At 41.6% G+C, this 27,454-nt stretch overlaps 1 protein-coding gene across 2 annotated transcripts, besides 4 other annotated features; it reads right to left on the reverse strand.

The window, feature by feature from the left end:
* Positions 1–585: 585 nt before the first annotated feature.
* Positions 586–27,433, reverse strand: EGLN3 (egl-9 family hypoxia inducible factor 3). Of its 2 annotated transcripts, none has more exons than NM_001308103.2 (5): positions 27,037–27,433; positions 7,455–7,574; positions 5,435–5,571; positions 3,319–3,392; positions 586–2,281 (listed from the first exon to the last, which is right to left on the reverse strand). In NM_001308103.2, exons 1-5 carry the CDS (start codon positions 27,109–27,111, stop codon positions 2,250–2,252), a joined length of 438 nt encoding a protein of 145 aa, NP_001295032.1. In that variant the 5' UTR covers positions 27,112–27,433; the 3' UTR covers positions 586–2,249. The 2 variants fall into 2 exon arrangements, with proteins under 2 accessions (NP_001295032.1, NP_071356.1); NM_022073.4 differs by having other exon boundaries at positions 26,755–27,433.
* Positions 7,775–8,336: an enhancer, noted in NCBI's record as "NANOG hESC enhancer chr14:34400622-34401183 (GRCh37/hg19 assembly coordinates)". NCBI's record gives its function as "activates a minimal SCP1, AML or CMV promoter by ChIP-STARR-seq in primed H9 embryonic stem cells {active_cell/tissue: H9 hESC(primed)}" and the evidence as "EXISTENCE:reporter gene assay evidence [ECO:0000049][PMID:30033119]".
* Positions 14,323–15,294: an enhancer, noted in NCBI's record as "OCT4-NANOG-H3K27ac-H3K4me1 hESC enhancer chr14:34407170-34408141 (GRCh37/hg19 assembly coordinates)". NCBI's record gives its function as "activates a minimal SCP1, AML or CMV promoter by ChIP-STARR-seq in primed H9 embryonic stem cells {active_cell/tissue: H9 hESC(primed)}" and the evidence as "EXISTENCE:reporter gene assay evidence [ECO:0000049][PMID:30033119]".
* Positions 14,925–14,994: an enhancer, noted in NCBI's record as "active region_8242". NCBI's record gives its function as "activates an Ori minimal core promoter by ATAC-STARR-seq in GM12878 lymphoblastoid cells {active_cell/tissue: GM12878}" and the evidence as "EXISTENCE:reporter gene assay evidence [ECO:0000049][PMID:35858748]".
* Positions 27,201–27,370: an enhancer, noted in NCBI's record as "active region_8243". NCBI's record gives its function as "activates an Ori minimal core promoter by ATAC-STARR-seq in GM12878 lymphoblastoid cells {active_cell/tissue: GM12878}" and the evidence as "EXISTENCE:reporter gene assay evidence [ECO:0000049][PMID:35858748]".

Below are 27,454 nucleotides of genomic sequence, written 5' to 3' on the forward strand. Positions count from 1 at the left end.
GTCATTAAAAAAAAAAAAAAAAAAAAATCAGTGCACATAAAAAAAGTGGTTTGTTAGCTTATAGGACCTTTGTCTGGAAGGAATAAACAAAGCCTTGGAGGTCAGATCTTTTGGCATATTGACTAAAATGAAAAATACAAGACATGCTTTTGGAACTATATGATCCTCCTTCAGAATATTGTCACTATCATTCTTATGACATTAGAAATCATGAAAAATATATAACTACAATTTTACAGAATACAAAATTCCTAATAAACTTCGTCCTTTCTTTCCTATTGAAATTTTTCAAGATTGTTCGAAAGGGGAATTCACTCTGTCCTATCTGAGACTAATGTTATTTTACTAATGTTGTTTCTAGGATATGGAAGGGCAAAATATAATTTGTTCAATTTTCAGATTCATAGTGGTCAGTGAATGACCTATTCATGGGTATACAAATACGAAGCAACACTATGACCAAAGCGTTCTAAAACTCTTAGCGTAAATGTGTAAGTCAACAATGTTAAAAAGATGTGTGTAAAAATTCTAGCAAGCCCTTCCTGCCAAAGATGGAATATATTAATCAAACCATTAGAATGCTAATGTAGGAGACTGAGTTTATTCAACAAGTATTTACTGAGCCCTTACTATGTTCCCGGCACTATTTTAGGTGCTGAGAGTATGTTGCATTGGTTAAAAATATACAAAATTCCTGTCTTCATTGTGCTTACACTCCAGAGAAAGGATACAAGACAATAAACATAATAAGTGAATAAATTACATAGTAATTTAGAAGGTGATAACTATTACCGTACAACAAAATAGAGCAGTCGTTGAGAATTAATGGTGACATGTCTTATCTGGAAATTTTCCAAAACCAGAAGAGGAAAAAGTAAACTTCTATCTTGGAAGACTATATATATATATATCCGTACATAACAAAGGAAAATATTTCTGGCTCTTTAATGTTCATGGGATTTTCAAGCAAGAAATTAAAGGGATTTTTAAAACATGAAAGTAATACTGAAAACTAGGAAAAGTAGCTTTTGCAAAATACGTGCTCAATACCAAGTTATTGAGGCAGTGCGATCTGTGCTTACTGCAGGAGTAGAAGCTTCCACAGTTCTAGCAAATTCCATGATTCTGGTCATACTGCCAACCACAGTGGATCTAGAGAGCCAAGTGAGCTGAAGAAAGACTGCTAGGGACAGACGAGAACTCAAATAGCTTTGAGATTTTTTTATTTCCACTTCCTTTTTTAAAATACATCACCTTGCTTTTTTTGTGTTAAAGGGTGAGCTCATTAAAAAGGAAAACTAAAAAAAAAAAAAAAAAAAAAACAGGAACACCCACATTTCCAACTCCACCTCCCCTCTCAAATTGTTCAAGATGCACACATGTTTATTGTATATCAGTAGACCTAGCTCTTTCCACAGTTATCAGTGGTTAACACAAAACTACCAGGGATATATTTTTCCTTTCATTTAAATTTAAATTCCATTCCAACAAAGCAACCAAAACAACTAATGTCTAGTTTTTTAGCTTCTGGGGAATTAGGTTCCCAGGTAAGAACTGAAAATGGAGAAAAAATTGTGTTGCCATCTTTATTCAGAAAGTCATTATTTTCAGCAAAATGGGGCTGAGGCAGAAAATCCAGGTTGCAGGACTGGGAAAAAAGGAGTGTCTGCCCCATGGGACACTTATAAATTGTTCACTATGACAGCAGCCCTTTCTAGAGGTATTAATGTCATTAGGTTGTGATAATTCTCCAGAAACCCCAACAGCCCTGGATTAAGAACATCTGGAAATTGTTCAGATGACACAAATTTCTCTGTTTCCTGCTGTTAAGGCTTCCGTGATGCCTCTCTGTGGCATCTACCACCTCCATTTTTTTCTTTTCAAACCTCCTCCTTTCAAATCAGGAAGTATACATAAAGTGCAAGTAAGGTTCATTCCCTCGCTGTGCTCCTAGGCTCTTCTCTTGATAGTATTACCGAATCTATCAGGTAAACCGCTGGCCGAGTAGGATGTCTGCAGGAATTTCTGGAGTTAGCAAGTAACTTCATCTGGCAAAGAGAGTATCTGAAGATCAACACAGTCTTGGCAAGAAAACATGAAGTACCACACACAAGACAGGGATGTGAAGGATGCAAGAAGTAGCAGGGAGATTGTTGTCACTGAAGAGGCCATCTTTGGATCTCAAAGAATTTAAGAGAATTCAGGAACCGTTACTAAAATGAACAAGGCCAGCAGATTTCAGAGCACGGTCAGTCTTCAGTGAGGGCAGATTCAGTTTTCCCTGGGTTGGGGACAGAAAGGAGAATAAAGAGGGTATGGAGTCAGCTCTGATGAGTTTTATGTCACAAATGTCACCAAAAAGCCTCCAGTAAACACTTCCCATCTTATATAAGCCTCCTAATAGAGCTCTGCCAAAGGATTCTCTCTTGACTTTGCAATGGGATCTTTCCCATATGCCTCACAGACTGTGGAGGAACTTTGGGTTTACATCCAGCATTGGCACCTCTTGGGCTAATGCTGAGCATAAGTTGTATGAAGTGTAGCCTCACTCACATATCAGAGTTAAGCAGTGTAGGCCATCTGGAAGAGAAAACAAACTGAGATTTCCTGGGTGCAATTTGGAGACCACTTTGGTATTTGAGAGGTATACAGTCCAAATGGGTTATGGGCTAGGCAATATTATATATGTTTCCTTACTGCAGGATCTCTTAGCGCCTTAATTTAATATGCTAGTGAGCAATGTGACTCTTTTTAAGACAGGCATACAGCATGCAACATTTCCCACATTTTTGGGACCAGGAATTTACCAAATTGGCAGGATTTGTGTTTTAATGCAACGTATTTTGGGAAATGCTGCCTTCTAATACTGGTTGGAAGGGATAGGAGTAGTGCTGTTATATTCAGTTTATATTACATGAGCCCTGCTGTTATACTGAGAGTCACAGTCTCACCCAATATAATAAATTTTGCCATCATAACTGGGTTCCATTATATTTCCTTTGCAATATGCCAAAAATCATGGGCAAAATTTAATGTTACATTTGACTGGTTAACATTAATAGGAAAAAGTTAACTATTTCCCATCTATCATAAACCATCATACATTCAGTGGGCATTCTCAGGGGAAGCCCCTTGCATTGTTTCTGATTTTTCTAAGAGCCCTAAGGCCAAGGTTTCAGGATAAAACCCATCAAGATGTCATTATATATAAAGCTAAGCCGTAACAGATTGAACAGAACATGTTTAAAACTACATAAAATTGAATAAAAGTCAAGGATTAACTTGATCAAAAGTCACAGAAAATTATCAAACACATACTAGTTAAATTCCTGAATTTCTTTTTGGCTTCTGCCCTTTCTTCAGCATCAAAGTACCAGACAGTCATAGCATATCTGTGAAAGATAAGCAGATATAAGGAAAGAGATTTAATGGTACTACTAGAAACACAAATGTCCTATAAATCTCACATTAAAAGTTTTAAAGTTTTCTCTATTATTAGAAGTCTACCCTGATTTATTTATTTATTTATTTATTTATTTATTTATTTATTTTTTGAGATGGAGTCTTGCTCTGTTGCCAGGCAGAGGCGTGATCTCGGCTCACTGCAACCTCCACTTCCCAGGTTCAAGCGATTCTCCTGCCTCAGCTTCCCAAGTAGCTGGGACTACAGGTGCACGCTACCACACCCAGCTAATTTTTAAATTTTTAGTAGAGATGGGGTTTCACCATGTTGGCCAGGATGGTCTCGATCTCTTGACCTGCCCACCTCGGCCTCCCAAAGTGCTGGGATTGCAGGTGTGAGCCACCATGCCCGGCCTGTCTACGCTGATTTTAATTTAAAATTAACTTCTCTGGTTTTAATTCTATTTCAATGTAATAAAATGCATAAGGAATTCCAGGTATGTGCCAGAAATTATCTTGGGCATTAGGAATTCAAATGACCCTGTGATCAGATCTTCCTCTGCGATCTCAGGCTCCAAGTAGGGGAGACAGGTGATTTTGCAATAATGCAACAGGTAAACATAGCCTCTACAGAAAGGACTAGAAGGGAGTCATTCTGCTAAAGACTGGGAGACCCAAGTTGGTGGCGAGAACATAGAGAAGAGATGACATTTGAGTGAAGCTTTGAAAAACGACTTATGTAAATCACAGTATGTTTAAAACTCTTGGCTTGCTTTCTTTAGTTTTGGACATTGAGGCAAAATTGCAATTGAATAATAATAATGCCCCAGAGCTTTCTACTGCATCCCCACTAATTTGCTTTATCCCATTCATTGGATAGACTGTAATGGGAGCCATTTCATGCTTGGTTTTTTTTTAAAGTTTCATTTTGTAATGATTGTTAGCTACTTCCGTAGCTAACAATTTCTATAGCACTTGAGTTTTTTTCAAGGGACTTCTCATCAACATTTGCTAATGTTTTCCCTGTAAGGCCAGTCATCATGAGATTGGGGAATAACCAAAGACTTCTGCCACAAACAACAGGGTTTAGTTACATACCCCATAAAACACAAAAGCTGACTTCAGTGGTAGAATTCGTTCCCTGCTCATCTAGAAGACATTCCGATTTGGCAGTTAATATATAACTGGGTTTGGGGCTAAGCTGTGTGACTTCCGGAGGAGGGCACATGTGATCTTAATTTAATTAGGCTTGTTAGGGTTTAATCATCATCCTACCAAAATTCTCTCCTCCTGCCCCTGAATGCTAGTCTCAGTATAAGCTGCACTCCATAGCCCTCCAATGCTGCCCGGCTTATTGCTTTAGACACAGACAAAGGTAAATGAGAGGCAGAATTGAGAATGAAGATTTTTTGTCAAGATTGTCTAGATTGGTCCTAAACAATACTAAGGTGTTCAGTTACTCTGAGAATCTTCATGTGCACATGATAAAGAAAAGATTAATAAAACATCCAACTGTTGGACCATGGATACAGCAAGCCCAAGCCAATTTCAAACCAAGGAAAAGACAAAAAGAGAAAGTCAAAACAAATTACTCTTTCTCTTCTCAAGGCTCTTTCTCTGCTTGCAATTAGCAGCTTGTAAACTCATCCAAAGTAACCAGACAGAATTCCTGATATGTGACAGCCAACATTCTCTAGGCATAGTTCAACATTAGGTTTTTTAAAAAAAGGGAAAGAGAGATAAGAGAAGGGAGGAAAGGAGAGAAGAGAAAAATACTTTTGAGAAATTGGAATCCAATATGCTCATCTAATAGAAAACAACTTGTTAATAGTACTTTCAAACTGAGGTTAGGTTTGATATGCTAAAGAACGCAAAGTTTCCCCTTTAATTTTTGTAGACTCCAAACAAGTTTGCTATCAGCTATGGGGTGTGGTCAATCCCCCACATGCACAGGACACACGTTTAAAGAGTTCTCTGGAACTAGGGTTTGTACACCAAGCTCCGGAAGAGGAATCATGGCTCCGGCTATTACCTGGTTGCGTAAGAGGGCTGCACTTCGTGTGGGTTCCTACGATCTGACCAGAAGAACAGGAGTCTGTCAAAAATGGGCTCCACATCTGCTATGAATGATTTCCCCTCTGGAAATATCCGCAGGATCCCACCATGTAGCTGAAAGACACAAAGAAGGGGGATTATTTCTTACCTCTCATGTAGTTTATCAACAACCATATTTCAGCTCCATTTAGAAACATGCCATCTGCTAACCACCACTCCAAATGCATGGTACCCCAGATTTTTACTTCAACCTCATAGTTTGTACCAATTTGAGATGGAGTTTCACTCTTGTTGCCCAGGCTGGAGTGCAATGGCACGATCTCGTTTCACTGCCACTTCCACCTCCCTGGTTCAAGTGATTCTCTTGCCTCAGCCTCCCGAGTAGCTGGGATTAGAGGCATGCACCACCATGCCCAGTTAATTTTGTATTTTTAGTAGAGACGGGGTTTCCCCATGTTGGTCAGGCTGGTCTCGAACTCCCGACCTCAGGTGATCCGCCCACTAGGGCCTCCTGAAGTGCTGGGATTATAGGCATGAGCCACCACGCCCAGCCACTTCGTACCAAATTTTATATCAAACTTAGCTAGAGATATCTCCTTATTCACCTTAAACCAAAAAAAGCACTCCCACCCCCCACAGTCATAAAGCCCATGGACGTAAAATAGAGTACTATTAGATTGAATCATACCGATTTGCCAATATTTGAGTGTTTTTGACTTAAAAAAAAATGCCCAGTGATCTCACATGGTTCCATCTAACCATTAACAACTTTCTAAGAAAATCATCACATGTAACTTCCCCTTCAATTAGAATTTACAGCTCTTCTGAACTCCCTTAGCTCCTATCTGACCTCATTAGTTGGAAGTTACATGCTCTTTTTACTGAACTCTCAGACCACCTAATCTGCACCTTTTATGACATACACCACTCTCTTCCTTGAATTATTTTTTTTACATGTCAACCTATTTCATCCTACTAGAATAACCATATTCAGAGTAAAGTTCAGGCCTCACACATCAATGTTTCTTCATAATACAACGCCTGACACTAGCAGGAACTCAAATATTTGTTAAATGATTCCAGACCTTGCAATTTATTATTACCAGTCTGATAACTTTATTCTCTTGTCTCTATCAGCACCTCTCAAGATTTTAAAGGAGACTTAATGGATGTATTCCAGTCATGTTACCAAACAGGGAGAAGAGATAGGCCTTTTCACTGATTCAATGGTTTCCCAAGTTTCGTTTTTCTGACTCTGGATAAATATTATTGCTTTATGACAGCCAGTATTTGCCTAATGAACAGGAAATTGAGATGCAGAAGGTTCAAAAGCCAAATAAGCTTGAAAAGTTATCTGACTTCCCAGACTCCTAAATCATTCTTAACTTTCGGAAAGCATACAGAGTCCAGATGAATGTCTGTAAGCATGGAACCAGGCTTCATATCTCCATCTATCTATAAGTTCTATAATACAAAAATAAGCCACAAAGCCTTTGGCATTCACAAACCATAGTAAGCCATGGCAAGCAGCCATCAATGAGACATACCACCCCGAGGGAGAGGACTGTGTGGGAAATCTCTCTTGGGGATGGTTTTATAGCCTACAGTTCTATTTTTGTGGAACTTTCTCAATGCTGCTGCTGGGAGGGAAAAGTGTATATCCTATTCTGCATTGAGTCAGAACAACTCTGAATTAAACTGAAAAAAATTAATCCTTAATCCTAATATCAAATTACCTTCCCTTCATCAACCACCCTTCCCAGAGGTAGGGTTAATAATCACCCTACCTACCCCACTCCAAATTAACTTCATTGTTTTCTTCTTAACAACTTTAGGACTAATTCCATTGTCGCAGGAGGTTATGAAATGGAAATAGAAATGTTTCATCAGTGGGAGATACGGCAACTATGAACTCAATATAAACTCTCCTCTAAGTTATCTGAATCATTTTCCTGTAGTTTCTAACCCCACACTCTACTCCCATTATTCAAAAGTACCTTGGCATCCCAATTCTTGTTCAGATAGTAGATGCAGGTGATGCAGCGACCATCACCGTTGGGGTTGTCCACGTGGCGAACATAACCTGTTCCATTTCCCGGATAGCAAGCCACCATTGCCTATGGAGAAATCCCAAGAAAGCTGGTTAACAAAGCTGAGACAGACAATCTTCTCCTCCCACTGGTGAGCAGATAAGTAACACAGTCTCCTTGGGTGTTACGTGACATTTACAGGTAGTTGCTGGCTTCTTAATTTCATGTATGGTACATAAATTTGGACTCTTCTGTGCACAATGGCCAGGTCATACTATGGCTCTGCCCAGTGGAAAGTAGTTCAACAATATTCCCACAGTTCTAGAACATTTTACACAGTCTTTCTTAAAGTAACCTATCTGCATGCCCTGTTTGCATAACCTGTTTGTATGCCCTGCCTTTCTTCAATACTCCTTTTTGGAAAAGCAGTTTCTAGTTTCCCATGCTACAAAATCAGAGTCACTAGGTGTGGAGTTTAGGGATTATGACTGTTTAGCAAGTGCTGCTGAATCACTCACACTGTTTCAGAACAATGGCTAAAGGTATTTGCATACACAAAGTGACAGAACTAATCACCAAAGGAGGAAAAGGTCAGGCTTACTCAATAAAATGCTCAGGATAGAAAGAATAGAGGAAGATCAATAGGAAGCCGCACCCTAACTTGTTAACACAGACAACACAGGGAGATTCCTTTCAGGAAAAAAGCCATGCATGTATCTTAATATGTGTCTTCTTCCTGATAATTATGTAATCAGGTGATAATCTGAAGTTCTCTTTGTCTAAGTGCTACCTGTATCAACCAGGTGGAAGAATAAAGTAGAAAACCGTACCAAAAATCCTACTGAAAATTACCATTAGAGTAAACAGACCTCTAATTGTTCCAAGGGAAAAATTATAACACAGAGTGGGGAGGGGGAAGAAAGCAAAGTATAGAAAGCCAGTTCTTTTCTTCACAGGATACCGCCATGTTTGAAAAATATTTTTTATAGGGATGCAGTAGGTGCAAGGAAAATATTAGAACCAGCAACACAAGATGAGGACAGGGATTTTTTTTCCTGTTCTACTCACTGATGTATTCTTAGCACCTAGGACAGTGCCTGACATACAGAAGGTGTCCATCTAAAATGTGATAAATAAATCAATGAACTAGCGAATGGCTCTTTCTCTAAAGAGTAAGTTCACATTTTACCTAGATCAATAGCTATTTCTGTCATTTTAAAAGACCTATCTTCAAACATACATGTAAAGATCCAGGCCATATATTTCCTGATAAATGGCAGCGTTGCTTCATTGGTAAAATGACCGTTTGAGTAGAGCCCCAAGCTAATGGGCTAGTGGTTCAATGAATCAGCTTCAACGTGGCTGCCGAGTCACTCTCAATAGTAGCATGAAAACACGGAACTAGGCAAAACACACCTTGCATGCCAGATCAATAATAAGGCTGAATAGTAACTGGACTTTACAACAATTTTAAAGCTTAAATCACCATCTCTCTCAAACTTCATATCCTCATGCAGCAAACAATCCCCATATCCTGCCTTTGAACATCAAAATGTCAATGTGATGTCATCCTTAGAGCTCAAGTTAGGCTGTTAGCTTGAACATCTTTCAGAAGGTGAAACTGTGAGGCGACGTCAGCAATGAAGATTTAACAAATGATGGTACCACTAAGCAAAGCATGGCTTGAGGAAGGGTGATTGGTAGCAAACAGAATTGATGGGCCTAGCAAGAGAAGAAGAGACAAATAAAGTCACCTATAATGACTAAAGAATTACCCACCCCTGGAAGCAGCTATTAGGATTATAAGAGCCACCACAGAGCCAATAATGAAAGTCGCTTAAGCCACAAACAATTACAGGCTGGATTCCCTATTATCTCAGGCTCCCCCCACTGAGTGTGTCTGAAAAGAAAAAGTATGACATCAATGCTATAATCTTATATGCTTAAACAGCTCTTCTCTAAGGAAAAGGTCAGTGGTCTGGATGCCTGCCATAGTTCACTCTGCAACTAACTGTGATCCCAGGCTGTCTCTTTCCTATAAAGAGGGGATTGGGTTACGCAGCTGTCAAAGGCCCAAGAAGATCTAAGACTTGATCTAAGCATCAACCCTTGAAAAAGCAACATAGTTCTTCAGGTCATTAAGGAGTGTTTCTCTGCCTCAGAACTCAGCTCAGATTAAAATATTGAAAAAAAAAAAAAAGATGGATACAAACTCACAAAAGTAAATCCTCTACCAAATGCCGCATCTATAAAACACACAGAGACAAAGCCAATTCCAGAGGACTTACTATTAGGACAAAACCCCTACATGTCAGCAAAGTATCCGACTGCTTAAGAGGGAGGCAAAGAGATAATTTTTCTGGCCAGAGTGAACATTCACCCTCTCTCCTGGTTCCAGAAACCACATGCATCAAGTTGGAAACAATGGAAGGAAATCATTTCGAGCATCAGTGGGCCAGTTGAGGCTACATTTGGCCAATTTTATCAGTGTGTTTTCTGGATGAGTGCCATAGGAGATGGGTCTTTGCTTGGGCACATTCCCAACTATTTGCTCGTCTTTGACAGGGTCTAAAACCATGAGGCTAAGGATGCACCGAGAAGCAAGCCTGACTTCAATAACTAGCCATTCACTTCTGTGCCAATTTGTGCACGGGGCAGTAACAAACTCCGGAAACAGATCAGTCCAACTGAGTTGCTATCTAAACCTCATCAAGCCGGGGAAGGGATTTAGTGTTTAACAGAAGAGAAGTCTTCAATGCTTTATTGTTAAAAGAACGGGCCAGAGTAATTTAATGATCATATAACAAACATGCCAAGCAATAAACTGACACATATCAAGAGGATGCCTACTTTAGTACAGGCTTTTTATTTTCTAAAACTTCCTGACTAGATTAATATTTGAAGTTTACGCAAGTTTAACACAGTAGTGTCATCTACAGCAGCACATACAGTATAGTCCTATAGTTCTATTCTTGGATATACTGATAAATCCACATGTCCCCTTACACATTTACCGCTCTGTCCACTGACATTATATAGTGTACCCACCCCACCTCCCACCATCCCCATTCCCAGAGGCCTCTCCTTAGCTCTGTAGCAATAGGAAATGAGTGGAGAGGTGAATCAGGCCGGCCCAGGCTGGCTCTAGACCAGAATATGTGCTCTAGACACGTATGCAGCCATGTCCAGACAACAAACGTATATGTATCCTTTGAAGATATACACAGATATATAGAACCGTAACAGTCAAAACCCAGTATAAAAAAGTGGTCCCCAAATGCCACAGGTGGAAAAGGAAACAGTGGTTCTGTTAAGAGTTACCAGTGAGCTGACTTCATAAAAAAAAAAAAAAAACCTATCTCATCAAGTCCAAAGGTAAAGTTGAAAAATAAAAGTCCAGGATTTCCATTCCAATGCCTAAACAGAATGCTCTTGAATGCCATCAACCGCAGCTTGACTGCATGTAAAAACCATTTCAAAAACTTGGCATCAGTGACCTCCACCATCCACTAGGCAATGATGATCATTTTTCAGACCCACAGGTGAGAAGGGGATACACCCACCCTGCCGTTACCACTTCTCTGCTAACAGTTGCAACATGTATTTTCATAGAAATGTATTTTACATTGCTCATGATTTGAGACAGATTCACTAGTATGACTCGATCTTGAACAAGTTATAATAAAGTGGCATTTTATACAAAATTTAACTCACCAAATTAAAGTACTAATTAGATCTCATTTTATTTGCAAAATTTCCAATAAATGAAAATCCATTGTTTAAGATTTGTTGAGAAAAGCGTGATTTCAAAACTATCTGGTTGAAGGAGCTTTAAACTAGTATTCTGATCTACCGACAAATGCTAGATCCCCTCCAGCTGCTAAGTAGAAATACCAGCCAACCTTTGTAAGGATTCATTTTGAATTAAGCATGGTCTTGAGCAAAGCGTACTTTGAATAAAATGCAACCTAAGTACGGGATAATCTGCATTTAGCTCATTTACACCTTGGTTTCTTCATCTGTAAAATGGGTTTATGCAGACTCAGGGAGATAATCCATGTAAAATGCTTAATGCACGGCCTGGCACACACTAAGTGCTTAATAAATGTTAGCTATTTTTAAAGATGATGTGTTATGTTTGTCTTCCCCTCAACTGAAGCTGTAGAACGTCTCTTCTTCAGAGACCCAATTCTACTTAAGTGTTTTGTAGTTTTGAACCCAGGACTGGCAAACTAAAATAGCTTTCGATGTTTGCGAGTAACAAATGATTGAAGCCAATCCGGTATACATGAGTCAGAACTCTGGTGTGTGTTATGCCACCTACACTGAGGGGACTTGCTGTTATTTTCAATGAGAGCAAATCTTCAGATTTTATGAGAGTAGCAGGCAATCAGATCTTTATGTAAACTCTCCTGAATATTGTTGATCCCAATTTTTTAATCAGGGCTATAAATAAATACACACACACACACACACACACACACACACACACATATATATATATACACACACATATATCAGGCTATATTTTGAGATCACTGTGTGAGGACTTCCAAGAAGTAAAGCTACTTTGAGACAGCTGCTGAGTGGGCACCTTCCCCATCTCTCTCCACCAGACTCAAACACATCCTATCCAAAGACAATGCCTCATCCTGAATGCCATCCACATTCCAATTGCATCCTGACACCTCGCTCCATCAAGTCCTTCCCCCATGTCCACCCAGTACAGAGCAACAGAGGCCCAGGATCCTTCCCTTCTCCACCATAAGGCACAACGACACAGGCACAACAACACAGACAACTAGATGTGTAAAGAGTTGGGGGCTGGGCGCGGTGGCTCACGCCTGTAATCCCAGCACTTTGGGAGGCCGAGGTGGGTGGATCACAATGTCAGGAGTTCAAGACCAGCCTAACCAACATGGTGAAACCCTGTCTCTACTAAAAATACAAAAATTAGTTGGGCATGGTGGCGCACGCCTGTAATCCCAGCTACTCAGGAGGCTGAGGAGGAGAATTGCTTGAACCTGGGAAGTGGAGGTTGCAGTGAGCCGAGATCGCACCACTGCACTCCAGCCTGGGCGACAGAGCGAGATGCTGTCTCAAAAAATATAAATAAATAAATAAGAGTTGGGAGGAAATACATGAGACCATGCACCTTCTTTTGCTTGGAAAAACAGCCAAGCAACTCATCACAATGTAGACTGTGATAGCTGAAGTTTTCTGGCCAGAAATGGGTCTCATTTATATTCGGGTGACAACAGCCTAGGTGACAAACTTGCCAATGTTTTTAGTCAGCTGTGGGTAGAGGAGCTGAAGGCTACACTTCCAGGGCTATTTTTCTAGGTGGTTTATGTTCAGCACATATTTTAACACACGCCTTGACTGTGGCCAGTGAGCAGGGCATCCCCATGATCACATACTTTAGGTCCTGCCTTCATCAAGGCACCCTGCTGATGTAGGGGCCCCATTTGGTAATTCATCTGAGGGAGGGGAAAGGGGATTAGTAGCTGGAACAAAGGCACTATATGTGCTAGCAGCAGCTCTAGATCTGAAATTCTCCTATTTAAAAAGAAAGAAAAACCAAAAAAACGTTTAGGTATTCAAACTGCTATATGCAGGCATACTGGAGGAAAGGCTGGAGAAAAAAAAAAACAAAACCTGAAAGAGACATGCCCTTTACAAGTTTTATTTAAAAAAAAAAAAATCTAAAGACAAATTAAGCCAAAATGTCCAATTCCATTATTTTCCACTTGGCTCTGACAAGGAGTGAGAGAAAAGAACTCAAAAAATCATTTGCAACTTAAATCCGGAGGACATGAAAAGCAAACTGGAATTACTACTTCAACCTTCTATCATCTCCCTTGTTCAGGGATATGTGATCTTCAAGGACATTTTGTGGGATCTACTGTTGTCAAGTAAATTAAATTCCTACAGAACAATGTTCACAGGGCCTCTTTACAAGACGATGGCAACTATGCAAAGCTTTCTCCAAGTTTTAAGAAAATGTCACTGCAAAAGTTCACATTTGCTGCCAGCTGGTCTTATCCTTTATACAGAATTGAACAAAAAAGGTCTCAATGTGATGATGAAGCAGTGCTAACTTGTAAGTATTAAAAGTGCTTTAGAATTTTTAGACATTCAAACTTCACCTAGACGGGCATGAAGAAAATAGTTGTAAGCAAACGTGAGCTCTTAGAAAAGTAAGAAATTTTGTGTAAACTGTCATCAGTTACCTTGGCATCTTGCTGGTCATCTTTGTTGTTGGTTAAGAGCAAGCCTAGCTATTCTATTTCCTGACTTCTAGTGCCTCTAGTTACAGACTGATGTAATAAAATGAGGGGGAAAGAGAAAATACACTTTTGGTGGGCCATAACACAAGCTGTGTCCAGCCACCGTGTTCACCTTTCCAAAGCTTCAGCATCTCACCAGACCATTTGGAAGATTCAGAATACCAGACAAATACCTGTCAGGTAGGTAATCCTTTCAATAAACCCCAAATTATTCATGAAAATGTTTTTTACTACTCTACTTCCACAATGCAGACTACTTCTGCCCTCCTCATTTGTCCTAAATCCACACTAAAAATAATTCCTCTCGCAGAACCTACTTACCCAGAACACTGCTACACATGACCTCTCTCCCAAGGTAGAACAACGGTCATCACATACCTACACCTGAATTTTCTAATATTGTAGAAACTTCAGAACTTCTGAAAATAAAAAATAAGAAGTAATAACCGACTCTCGGTTGCTCTAGTGAAGTGGGTCTGCCCACACCCTCCTGGCCAGGTGAGAGCACCGTGCCTGAATAGCAGAGAATTTACCATTCTCACTTTAAAACCTGTCCTCAGATGAACTTGGTCCTAGCTTCAGGATCATTAACTACCCAGAGCGTGGAAGCATCCATCTAGTTCTCCTGGGTCAGTGATGATAGTTCTACCAGGCACAATAGCCCTTTGAGATTCTTACATTAAAAGGATGTAAGAAATATGCACGCACACACAGAAGTCTGCACGAAATTCTAGGGGGTTCAAAGGCCTCTAAAGTTGAACTGTGCGGGATCAAGATTCTATTCCAGGAGATCCCGCATTTCATGCACGACCTTCTGAGTGAATCGCCCTCCCCCAAGAAGCCACTGAAAGGCTCAGAGGCCAGGAATTTAAGAGACTATTGTCATTCCTTTCTGCATTGTGGTTAATTCTTCTCCTTGGAGGGGATTCAGCCAGAGCCCATGCAATTAGGCACAGTAAACAGGCCCGGCAACATCGCCATATTAATACAGGGTGTTTGGGTTTGGGCAGGCCGCCCTTCCCGTGGAGGACTGGCTCTAAGCCAGCAGGGTGATGGCTGAGTGACAGGGCTACGTGCGCTGCGTGAGGGTGGCAGCCAGCCCACACCCGAGCACACCGCCAGGCAGCCTGAGCTGGGAACGGACACTGGGAACCATCCCCCTCCCCCATCTCTACCCCAGTCACCAGAGAAATGTTTTCAACCGGGCTTCCTCACAATTATAAAATCAGCAAAGGTCAGTCCAGCCCAGGGATAAGGACATCAAGACGCATTTAACCATTTCCTTTCTGATGCCTTTCCCCAAATATTAACAGCTGCTGTTTCCTGAGAATTCATGTAGCCCGGTGGCATTTTGCACATATCTTGTTTAATTTCCTGGTTACTGGGAAGGTGAGCAGCAGTGTGTGCCCTGAGTCACACCGCTCCAAGTCCTTGGTAGAAGTCATTAACCCTAGAAGTTACCCTATGGACCTAGAAGTTATCACAGGTATTTCTATAGAGAAACATAATATTCGACTTCCTTTGATATGAGAAAACAGCCTTATCAGAATAATAAAACATCACCTATGGCTCTCTAAAGGCTTTGAGCATAACAGAGACAAGGAATACTTGTGACTGCAGGCTCATCAGAGAATGGAATATTTGAAATTTTCATCTGAACTTAATCCTAAAGTACTTAAAGAATCCATAACTCAAAATAATTGGTAAGACAAGACTTTAATAATGGATAATATATGAAAAAACGAAGTTACCAATCAAAATGTCATGAAAAATGCCTTGAAACAATCATCTTTTTTTTTTTTTCTTTTTTGAGACGGAGTCTCGCTCTGTCACCCAGGCTGGAGTGCACTGGCGCGATCTCGGCTCACTGCAAGCTCTGCCTCCCGGGTTCAGGCCATTCTCCTGCCTCAGCCTCCCGAGTAGCTGGGACTACAGGCGCCCGCCACCACGCCCGGCTAATTTTTTGTGTTTTTAGTAGAGACTGGGTTTCACTTTGTTAGCCAGGATGGTCTCTATCTCCTGACCTCGTGATCCACCCGCCTCGGCCGCCCAAAGTGCTGGGATTGCAGGCGTGAGCCACCGCGCCCGGCCGAAACAATCTTAAAACAGGAGAAACCTACATATGCATTTCAGCACTTGGAAAAACAGATCTGCTGAATGAAAGAAATGACACACAGCAAGTTAGCGTAGATTAGAACTCATGAAATTCAGTGGCTATATTTATTTACTAAACAAACATTTGTAAAGCATTTACTATGTGCCCAACACTGTTCTGTGTGCTTCACAAATCGGACCTCCTTCACACTCCCTAACAACCGCATGAAGTAGGAACATTATCTCCATTTTACCGATGAGGAAATGGAGGCACAGAGAGCTTAGGTAACTTGCCTTTTTGAACCCAGTTGGTCTGGCTGAAGAGTGTGAGGTCTTAAGACGTGCTTTACCAACTCAGTTTATCTAATGTCTGACATTAGCAAATTCACCCCCACCTCATTTTTGAGGGAACTAAGATCTTTGGTTCTACTTGAAATATTTGACTCCACCTACCTCATCCTTGCCTATCACCCTTCCAGAGTGATAGAAAAATCACAAAATACAAACAATTGCAAGAATTTTTTTAAAAGAGTGTGCTTGGTATTCAGTCTGTAAACTCAAAGATCCAAAGGGGGAATTTTAACAAAGGCAAGAGGCCAAGAAAATTGACCCTACTTGTCCAAGTCATCTTGTCTTTGCTTTGGTTATTCCCAGTGCAGGTCAACCTCAAGCCCACCATAAAATCTCTGTAGCCCCTGCAGGGTCCACATAGGCCTCAAATGCAGTTGTCTTGCCAAAGGCCAGACATTCACCTCCATTCACCATAACAGGAGGGAACTGGTTCCAAAATTTGCTTCAATTCTAGTTCTGGAAAATTAAATATGCTGGTACAAATAATAGGCTATAAATGTGAACTAAAAATCGTTTTTTGTTTTTTTTTTTAGTTTTAGCAATAAATAATCTAATGTCTGATCAACTGACCTCTGACTTTCTTGTTAACAGGGAAACTGTAGGAAGATACGCCACCATCCCTATCTAATCTCTTCTTAATGCATTAACTTTACTCAATGGTTCTCAAACTTTAGCATGTATGAGATCACCTGGAGAACTTGTGAATTTCTAACTCAGGAGGTCTGGGGAGAAGATGAAGAATCTGCATTTACTGCATGTTTCCAGATAATGGTGATGCCTCTTATCCAGGGACCACAGAGAACCACAGCCCTTATATGGCAAAGTCGAGAGTTTTTGTGCAATGCCTCACCCTAAATGATAAAGGTAAAGAGGAATTAGTCAACTGCACTAGTTAATTTGGGGAGCTGAAAGTGGGTGGGTAGAGCAGTAATGAGGAGAATTACTCTGGCAGTTTCTGGCATCAGCTTTGCAGTGTCATTCCCGAAGCTGGCAGGAAACTTTCCAATTGTAACTTTCTAGCATTGCTGTTTTGTGCTGGGCTCTGCCTCTGAGGATTACTGTCATATCAGCGCTGGGGTTGAATGTCGGTGCGAGTCTGCTCTCTCCAGGAATCAAATAAAAGGCACTGAAAGCAACTATTTTCCTTCTCAAATGGAAATGTCATCTCAATGTTAATTCCTTATAATCCTAGAAGTAGACATACAGTATTATTGTGCCTATGTTATAGATGATGAAAGTGGGCTCAGAGAACTGACTTGCCCAAGATCATAGGAAGATGAAATAAAATCTGAAGTGTCCATCCTAGTGTCAAGTGGTAGGTGCTGACCAAATTTAAGTTCAAAAATGAAAACAAGTATCTAACTCATCCATAAAGAAGTGGAAATGGAGGACCATGAAACTTGCCAGGGGCTGAGCTAGGACCAGAACCTGGGGCCCTAAGCCTCGTGGCCCTGGCGTCTCTGAGCCAGACCTGTAGGTATGAGCTGCCAGGATCCAGGTGTGACTCGGGTATTTCTAGGGTGAAACCTAGGATTTCGAAACTGAGAAAAAAAAAAAACTTACAAAGCTAAGGTCCTCCATTGAGATGGTCTCACATAACATGTCACTCTAATAAAATATTTAAATACTTAGGCATCGAATTAGAGACTAAGCTGCAGCCACCCATCTTCCCCCGTCATTCCCCTCTATCCCCCCCAAAAAAAATTCTAGCTTTTTTTTTAACATTCAAATATCCATCAAAATCAAAGTTCCTTTTGAAGATGAAATTAAGCCAACAAGCACCTATGAAGTATAAGGGACTGTTCTAGGCACTAAAAGTATATACAAAGCTTAACAGTCTCTGCATTCAAGGAATTTCTAAGCACACGGTGGACAGCATAAACAGCCCAATAAATCCATGTACTGGGCAGCCTGGATTGAGCCACGACAGAGTTCTGGGGAGCAGAAGGGAAGACTTCAGGGAACAGGCACTAGAAGGCGGTAGAGATGGATTTTTGATGAGTGGAAGACAATGGGGAAGCTCATTATGCCTGGCAAATTAGTTTCTAGCATTTCAGGGACTGGGAGGAAAGGAAGGCAGTGGTGGGAAATTAAGTGTAGAAAGGTCAGATGTGGTCAGATGTAGAGGGCTGTCAAAGCTGGCTAAGTTTACAGTCTTTACAGTGTTGTATAGTAGATAATGAAGAAGGAGCATGGTTGGATTTTTGGATTATTTTGTTTTAAGCACAGAGACTACATGATTAGAATTGGAATTGGGACTACTACACTCTAGCAAAAGTACATAAAATGGATTACAGGAAGAACAAGAACCAACGGCAAGTGATTTATGGTTACAGTAAGTTACTTTAAAAAACTTCCCCCCTCAAGGATTTTTCTACTAAGAAAGGGCCCCTCAAGGATTTTTCTACTAAGAAAGGAAAGAAAGTTTAGTTAAAAAAAAAAAAAAGACAACTTGAGGTTCTATAGTGAACCTAAAAAGTAAAACTAAACAAAGAAAGCACAATAGGCCCTTCTCTAGCAATACTGCATGTTCTTGCCTGAATCTTCAATATTTTGTGTTTAAAAGGGGTTTTGTTGGCCTGGCCTGGTGGCTCACACCTGTAGTTTCAGTACTTTGGGAGGCCTGGGCAACATGGCAGAACCCCATCTCTATAAAAATAAATAAAAGGGTCCCAAACAGTATATCCTTACAGCTTCCAAGCAATGCTCAAATGAAATTATCCTGACAACTTCAAAAAGATGGAACTTCAGGGTCTCACATTAGAATAAAAAATAGATGTTATTGACACCTGGAATTGAGTTTTTCATTTTGTTTTCTTCCCACTGACAAAGAATTGAGGTTACTATCATATTATTTGATTCTTTGTATTCTGGAATTATTTTTGTATGGCAACAATAAGTATTTTGGCCTCATTTTGTAAAGAAAAACTAATGTTTAATATAAGATAGGCACATGTACTCCAGAACTTGAGAATCATTGTACCTTCTAAAGAATCAAAAATTAGCTTGATTTAATAAGGAGGTATTGACACTGTACTGAACACGGAGAACACTAAGTAACAAGGTACCAAATGAATCCAATACAAGATGTGAAAGCCTGCATTATACACCAGCAAACCCAGGGTCTGTAAGGCTGGGATTGTGTTAGGACCGGGGCAGGAAAACGTAGTCACTACAGACTCACCAAAAACAGGGACAGAAACTCACCCACAAATCAATATCAAAACAAGATGCAAAATTAAAGTAAATGTCATACCGGTTTAAGATGGAAATAATCGAGAGAAAGGGGGTACAAATTCTATGTATAATTAACCAAGACAACTAATCTTGCTTGGCAAACAGACACATAGCACTGAATCTGAGCCCAATCAACGGCTCCTGGCAATCTGCCAAAGCTGAACTCCTTAGTCTGGCACCATCAAATGATTTGTCTGTTGTATTTACAATTCCAGTGCCTCTGGATTCAGCTACCCACTGGGCACCCCTGGCAGATGCCCAGCAAAATAGATCTGAACTATCATTACTGTCAGAACATGTGCATTTGACAAACACTAGAGAAAAGCGACACCCGTTTCTTAGAGCAATATCACTTAACAACTACAAAGTGCTGCTACCAAGGAATTGTGGAGTCTGTTGCCGTAATAATTAACAAAAAGTTAATAACCTTCTCCATAATGTTAACCTGCAAGCTACTTCTTGGTCTTCAGTGGGCACAGATCAAAATGTAATTTAATTTACCTAGGGCTGCAAAGTTGGGTCAAAAGCAGAGGCCTTGCCAAACCAAACATGGCCCACAGGTGAGCAGCCTTCCAAGCTTTATCCGGAAGTACACAAGATGCTGGCAGTGCTTAAACTCTGCTCATTAGAGGTTGGGTAGAACGCCACCCTGACCTTTAAGCTTCCTCAGAGAAATCTTTCATACATGGTGTGTTCTTGGGATAGGGTCATAAAATGGAGGGCTGTTTGTTACTTATGAAATTACAAGTTTTTCCAGGAGATTCAGGAATCAGGAAAAATTTTACCAATTTTGCTTGAGCTGAAGCAGAAAGGTTAGAAAGGGAAATCATTCATGATACTCCAAAACCTTATGCAGAGACAGGCTTGCATAACTCCACTTAAGGGTGTTTATCAATTTTCAGTCAGAATTATATTTAAAATTCCCAAATAAAATGGTGATGCCACTGAATTAACCTACTGACCCTGGTCCCAGTCTGTCTGACCCAGCCAGCGTAGCCCCTTCTCTATTTTCTTTTTAATTATTATTATTATTTTTCTTGAGATGGAGTCTTGGTCTGTTGCCCAGGCTGGAGTGCAATGGTGCAATCTCGGCTCACTGCAACCTCCACCTCCCAGGTTCAAGCAATTCTCCTGCCTCAGCCTCCTGAGTACCTGGGACTACAGGCGCAAACCACCATGCCCGGCTAGACTTTGTATTTTTAGTAGAGATGGGGTTTCACCATGTTGGCCAGGCTGGTCTCAAACTCCTGACCTTGTGATCTGCCCGCCTCGGCCTCCCAAAGTGCTGGGATTACAGGTGTGAGCCACTGCACCCAGCCACCCTTTCTCTATTAAAGTACCTTTTATCCATCCCTTCCCAAGGATCTGCTCAAGATATCATCTCTCCAAATATGAAAACAACTGCTGAATGACTGAGACATTGGATAGATGTGACTTCTAATATCTCTCTAGCCCTAAAAACCCATATTATTAACATCCTGTATAGTTTTGATCACTTGTTCTGGTTGCTTCATTTTAAATTAACAGAGAAATTGGAGAAAACCCAAAGAGAAACAATGACTAATGAGCGTAAACGTGCACTTTTTAACCAGAAAAAGAGAAAGAATTGGTGACAACCACTGCACACTACACTCAACTCTCAGCTTAGTTCTTCAGGTGGTTTTGTAATCACTGGGCACTTCCCTTCCCCATCCACGGACAGGTCTCCCACAGTGTGCAGCACTGAGTGATCTGTGAATGAATTAAATCGATATCCCTTTATTATCCACTTCTCTGAAGCAGATAAGGTTATAGTGAAGTGGCCAGTGGCCCAAAATTGAGCAAAAGAAATTACAAATTAAACACACACACCCTCCTGCCTTTTTTGTTTCCAAATGTCATTCACAAAATAGACAAAAAACCCCATGAAAACTTGCCCATTGGAGAGACTTGTTTCACTGTCACTGGGACTGTATTCTGTAAATTATTACTGTGGAGTAATTTCCTTCCTACAGGAGCTAAGTTATTTTTAATACAAAAGCTTTTATAGGAATCCCTTACATCCTTACAGAAAGATGATCCAGAGCTTCAAACTCAGCACTCCTTCTCCCCAAAATACCTTATTCACAGTGTTCCAGAGCTTCAAACTCAGCAGCACTCCTCCCCAAAATACCTTATTCACAGGTAGATTTCTAAGATTCTAATTGCAGAGATACCATTTATGGTATCCAGCTCTCAAACTCTGTGCTCTAAGAGCTATAACTCTCATGGGCCCTGGCAACCATATTTGTGATGCATGGTTTCCACATGCCTCCCACTGTGCCAGACTACGGCTGATAGATCCCTTGAGCCAAGGTGAGACAATCAGACTTTCTCCCAGGCGATGAAAACAGGGATCCAGGAATGTTACTGAAGTCTCTGCTCATCTGCAACTAAAGGCTGAGGTGGCCATTGTGGGGCAGCCATCTTGAGCCATGTGCATGGGAAGGCAGCAAAAGCTGGATTGAAAAGAGGATAAGAAATGAAGAGCAAAAGCAGGGAAGCAAAGATGGAGGTCATGAGGCTCCTGAGAAAAGAACACACCAGCTGTCCTGGATGTTAAGGACTTTCTGCTTCCTAGTTCATACCTCTAAGCTTCTGAGAACCCTGACTGCATTTCTTGCACTTGGATCCTGCGAGATCACTTCATAGTACATTGCTTCATTTTTCCCTTAAAGTAGTTTGCAACCATGATAAGCTCCATTAAATAATGTATATTCCTGACCTCACATGAGAAGGGTGGGCCAAAACTGTTATTGCTCAACAGCAAGGAATAAACACACCACCTTGCAACACATCTTCTTTAATTCATAAATGTTTTGCTGTTTCATCATTCCTCCTTATTGTTTCCAGGGGAGGACCAATTGGTCTGTTCACAATGCAGTCCTCACAATGCCACCTTCCAGAGCTAGTCTGGTCAGGAATCCTACGAACAAACCCTATCAATAAATGTTTTCCTAAAAATAACAGTAGAAGCCGGGCGCGGTGGCTCACACCTGTAATCCCAGCACTTTGGGAGGCACCAAGGCAGGCGAATCACCTGAGGTCGGGAGTTAGAGATCAGCCTGACCAACAAGGAGAAACCCCGTCTCTACTAAAAATACAAAATTAGCCGGGCATGGTGGCGCACGCCTGTAATCCCAGCTACTCAGGAGGCTGAGGCAGGAGAATCGCTTGAACCCAGGAGGCGGAGGTTGTGGTGGGCCAAGATTGCGCCATTGAACTCCAACCTGCGCAACAGGAGCAAAACTCTGTCTCAATAAATAAATAAATAAATAAAACAGTAGGAAAACATCAGCACAGTACTCTATTTTTTTCTTCAAATGTACTCAACTGACCCACTTCAATGTTTGAGGGTTTTCTTAAGCCTAAGAATTAGTCAAGTGTGAATGAGACCATCCTACAATTCAAAGTATACGAAAGTATAAATTCGTTCATCATGGCACCACCACCCCTGCACAGCATCCCACACAGGCTGAACACTCCATAACATTTGCTGAATAAATGAAAGGTCGGAAGTAGGAGAGAATAAAAGGAAATAACACAGTCTCTGGAGTTACACAAATCTAGGTTAGGATCCCAAATTTCCCCTCTGGAGACTTAAAACACTGATGAAGGCTCGGAATTCTGCTAAACATTTCATAAACATCATCTTATTTAATGCTTCTTCCTCCAACAGCTTTACGGCATTATTTCCTTTCATTTTGCACCTGGTGTAAACCAAGCAACTTGCCTAAAGCCACGAAGTTAGTTAACACTGAGCCTGAGCTCCCAGCCCCCATTTAAACTGTTTCTTACCACTGACTTTGAAACTTTGGGCACAGTATTTAATCACTCAATATGTTTAAGACTGTGTTTCTGAAGATTAAGCAAGATAGTATTTGTAAAGTGCATAGCACAGTGCCAGACAATACAAACTGCTCAATAAAAGGTAGTTCTTCTTATTAGAGTCACTAACTAGTGAGTCTACAGTGAGCTGTTTGAAGCAGAGGGACTTTTGGTTCTAAAAATTATACATTCTCTGGAAAACAGCCATTTTCAAGATCTAGGCAGCCAAAGAAAAAGGAGCAAATTATGACCAATATTTATCTTGGATATGGTCTAAAATCTCCAAAAGGGAGTAGCGAGCGGATAAATCCTTTGCTAGCCTGAAAGCAATGATCATGCTTGAAGTTAGGGGGGGCCATACAGCTGTACATTACAGGAACCACTTCCCAAGGGGTCTTCAACACCCTTGGATTTTTCTCCAGCAAAGATGAGGTAGACAAATTCTGACCATTAACAACTTTCTTGGCAGGAAGCAGAACCATCTAATATTTCTTTCTATATTCTTCCACAATTTCAATTTTAGGTCCAGTGTATCTTTCTGTTTTACTCCCAATATCTTTGCTATTGTTTCATTGAGATAAAGGGCAATATTATTCAATGATCTTTCCAAGTCTAGCAAAGAACAAAAAAAGAAATGAAATTTGGGTAAGTGCATGAATAAGCATAACCTCAAGAAATTTAAAGTAGCTAAAAAAAATTGGTCTAAAACAAATGTACATATTGGCAATTGTTGAAATTGGGTGATGGGAGCTCATTATATTAGCCTCTTATGTTTATGTATGTTTGAAAATTTCCTTAATTAAAACTTAAAAATAAATTTAAGGGCCGGGCACAGTGGCTCAAGCCTGTAATCCCAGAACTTTGGGAGGCCGAGGCGGGTGGATCATGAGGTCAAGAGATCGAGACCAGCCCGGCCAACATGGTGAAACCCCGTCTCTACTAAAAATACAAAAATTAGCTGGGCAGGGTGGCGTGCCTGTGGTCCCAGCTATGCAGCAGGCTGAGGCAGGAGAATCACTTGAACCCAGGAGGCAGAGATTGCAGTGAGCCGCTACAGCCTGGCGACAGAGCAAGACTCCATCTCAAAAAAATAATAATAATAAATAAATTTAAAACTTTAGTTTTTCTTGAAAACACGGGTGAAGGATGAACCGGTAAACTGGGTCTCTATCACTGCTCTGGAAAGCAGCACAAAATGAGGAGCTCAGCTGAGGGATAAAAAGTGAGTGAAGAAAAAGAAGGATAAATTAATGTGAAACCAATAAAAATCATGTAGAAATGGAAAGTGTTTCTACCATGACTTTAATAATGAACTTCAAACAAGAAACCCAAGACCACAAGACATCACTAAGGAGACTTCTGTATACAAGCAAAGCACACTTAAAAAAAATTTAACTACACTAGTTGTTTGCTCAAGCCTGGTTTGCATTTGGTTCTAATTGGCCAGGGAATATTCCAATCGAAAGGTGATTTATCTAAAGGGCAGGGAGCTTTGTGACAAACCAGCCAAAGTAAACCTGGAAATCTGGGGGTGGGACAGGATAAATTTTATTTTCAATTCACGATCACCTTCTGACAGGGTCACCTGGAAAGTTTTTCATTCCACCCAAAAGATAACCTAAAATTGATGAATCATATCTACAGGATCTTTCTTTCCCTTACCCTAACTTACACAGTGTTTTTCCTTCCATTTGAGTTAAATTCTAGTCTGAAACCCTATCCCTATCCATTAAGTCAAAGCTAAATAAAAATATTTAACTTTCAATGTTAGTGGCCTCTTTCCATACCAATTAATCCTGACCTCCCTCAGAGCAAATTCTGCTCCTAGAATGATGAAGAAAAACTCCTAACACCTAAATTTACAAGAAACATTTAAAAACCCAATAAGAAGCCGTCTGCTCTTCCAGGTAGAAACTACCAGCATCTCAGCAACACTGAGGCTGACCCTTCCCCTCCCCGACACACCTCCACCACAGAAGACAGCAAGGTCATTTAATGCAAAAATCAAACTAGTCAAAGACGAGTGACTAATCCACCACCAACATGATGGAAGAAGAATAAAGAAACACTTTAGCATCAATCTCCTACAGAGTTCAGCTCACGCGGAATTTTTTTCCCCAAAGTAAAATTTAGAAAGCAGTATCTTCTAAGATTTACTTTACTTGGGTGCATTAATAACGATGCTTTCAGATATTCTATTCATGGCCTCTTGGCTTGGAAGTTGTACGGCAAACTGTGACTCCCCACTGCACTCATCCACCTCCACCCCTTCACTCCCACACGTTTCCAATCCTCACCACTTAGCCTTTATTCAGAGTGTTCCTCTCAGCGTATTAGAGAAATGAGAGAACAATGGTCTGTTCTGAGACAGGATCAGTCTTGAGACTGATTTGAGAAATACTATATTTATTGTCAAAGAGTGGTACATAGGTGAGTGTTCATCTTCCCTCTCATGCCGGTATACTCTGCTTCGCTGTTTCAGTAAAAGTTTTCCGTAGTTCTGAACGTCCCTTGACCACACCATAAGACAAGCGCAAGTCACTCAGAATTGCCACTGGAAAACTGGCTCAACTATCATTTGAGGAAAGACTGAGAAAGCCTATCCCAAAGTAATGGACATGCACCAACATCGCGGTACCTACATGTTCCCGTTTTTCTGCCAATCTACCTGTGTTTCCAAGATAAATTACCACCCAGGGAGTCACTTCCTGCTATGTGAACAAAAACCCGGTTTCTTTCTGGAGGTGCTTGACTACTCTCTCGTGAGCACTTAACTGGTTGTTTTGAGTGGACTTTGCCATCAATTCATAGTTAGGAAAAGGAAGGTGGTGGTGCAGGGCTCAGCATCAGGAGAGAATTTTCAGTCAAGAAGATGGTCTAACAATGTGCTGGGTCCCAGGGGGCAGAAGCAGCATTCAGAAGTGGAGTTTTACCCTTTCACACCTGCCCAACTCCACAAACCAACTGCCACATGGCAAAATCACAACTGCCTCCAGAATTCTGAGTGCTTTTGTAGAAATCTCTTCTGACCACAATGAAGGGCAGTATTAGGTGGCTTTAAAGTAGGCATTTAAGATCATGAGGACACGTGTGTCTCAGATGATACACAGTGTTTCCAATACCCTTTCCCTCCTTTGGATCTTTGAGAACCTCGTCTTAAAATCGGACCACAGCCACAGCTTGTCTGGCTTTTGTCACCCACAAGAGCCAATATTTCAAAGTCAACAGAAGGTCATCATCATGGTTCACCTGAGCCCCTTAACGTTGACTTTCGCTCAGAGGAGCTGGGGCGAGGGGTGGGGGGAAGCAGCGAGTAGAGACAAACCAGGCTGACTTCTTGGTTAAAAAACAAAGTTCGCTTACGGCCCTGGGAAGTCGACATACAACGGACTCCGAGTGCCTCCCGTCCCCGCGGGAGCAGCTGCGGCAGGGCGCCGAGCGCGTCCTACCTTAGACCTCTCCTTGACGTAGTATTTGCCCAGCCGGCTCCCGCAGTAGAGGACCAGCCTGTCGATGAGGGACAGGAGGAAGCTGATGGCCTCGCAGCCCTCCTCGTTGCCCCCGATCCACGTGATCTGGTCGCCCCGCAGGTGTCGCTTGGAGACGCCGGCGCGCGGCCCCGCCAGCTGGCCGTCCCGCAGGGCCCCGGTGCAGTGCAGCTGCTTGACGCGCTCCAGGACGCAGTCGCCCACCACCTCGCCCAGGAAGTTGTCCAGGTAGCAGAAGCCCACCTCGTGCAGACAGGGCACGATGTACTCCAGGGCAATTTTCTCCAGGTCCAGCCTCATGATGTGTCCCAGGGGCATCTCGCCCGCAGAATCGAGGTCCGGGATCCCCAGCGTGCAACCAGAGAGGGAACGATCTACACGAGCGCGAAGCCGAGGCGCGGGGAGCGTGGCCCGGGGTTCAGAAACCTGCGGCTGCCACGGTACCCGAGCCGCTGCAGCGTCGGGGACAAGGGAAAGTTTCTCGCAACTCTCGGGAGAAGGGATCTGCCTTCGGGAACCAGCGGGAGTGGTGCGGAGCTCCACGACCCGTTTCCGGACTGGCCCGGCGAGCAGTGCGGCGCAAGGAGTCGGAGGGCGCCTTTTGGGGATGGGAAGCCACCACTGCCGCGACTGCGGCCAGACTCCGGGAGACGCTGAGGTC

The sequence above is a fragment of the Homo sapiens genome, chromosome 14, assembly GCF_000001405.40.
Source record: "Homo sapiens chromosome 14, GRCh38.p14 Primary Assembly".
Classification (NCBI taxonomy): Eukaryota; Metazoa; Chordata; class Mammalia; order Primates; family Hominidae; genus Homo; species Homo sapiens.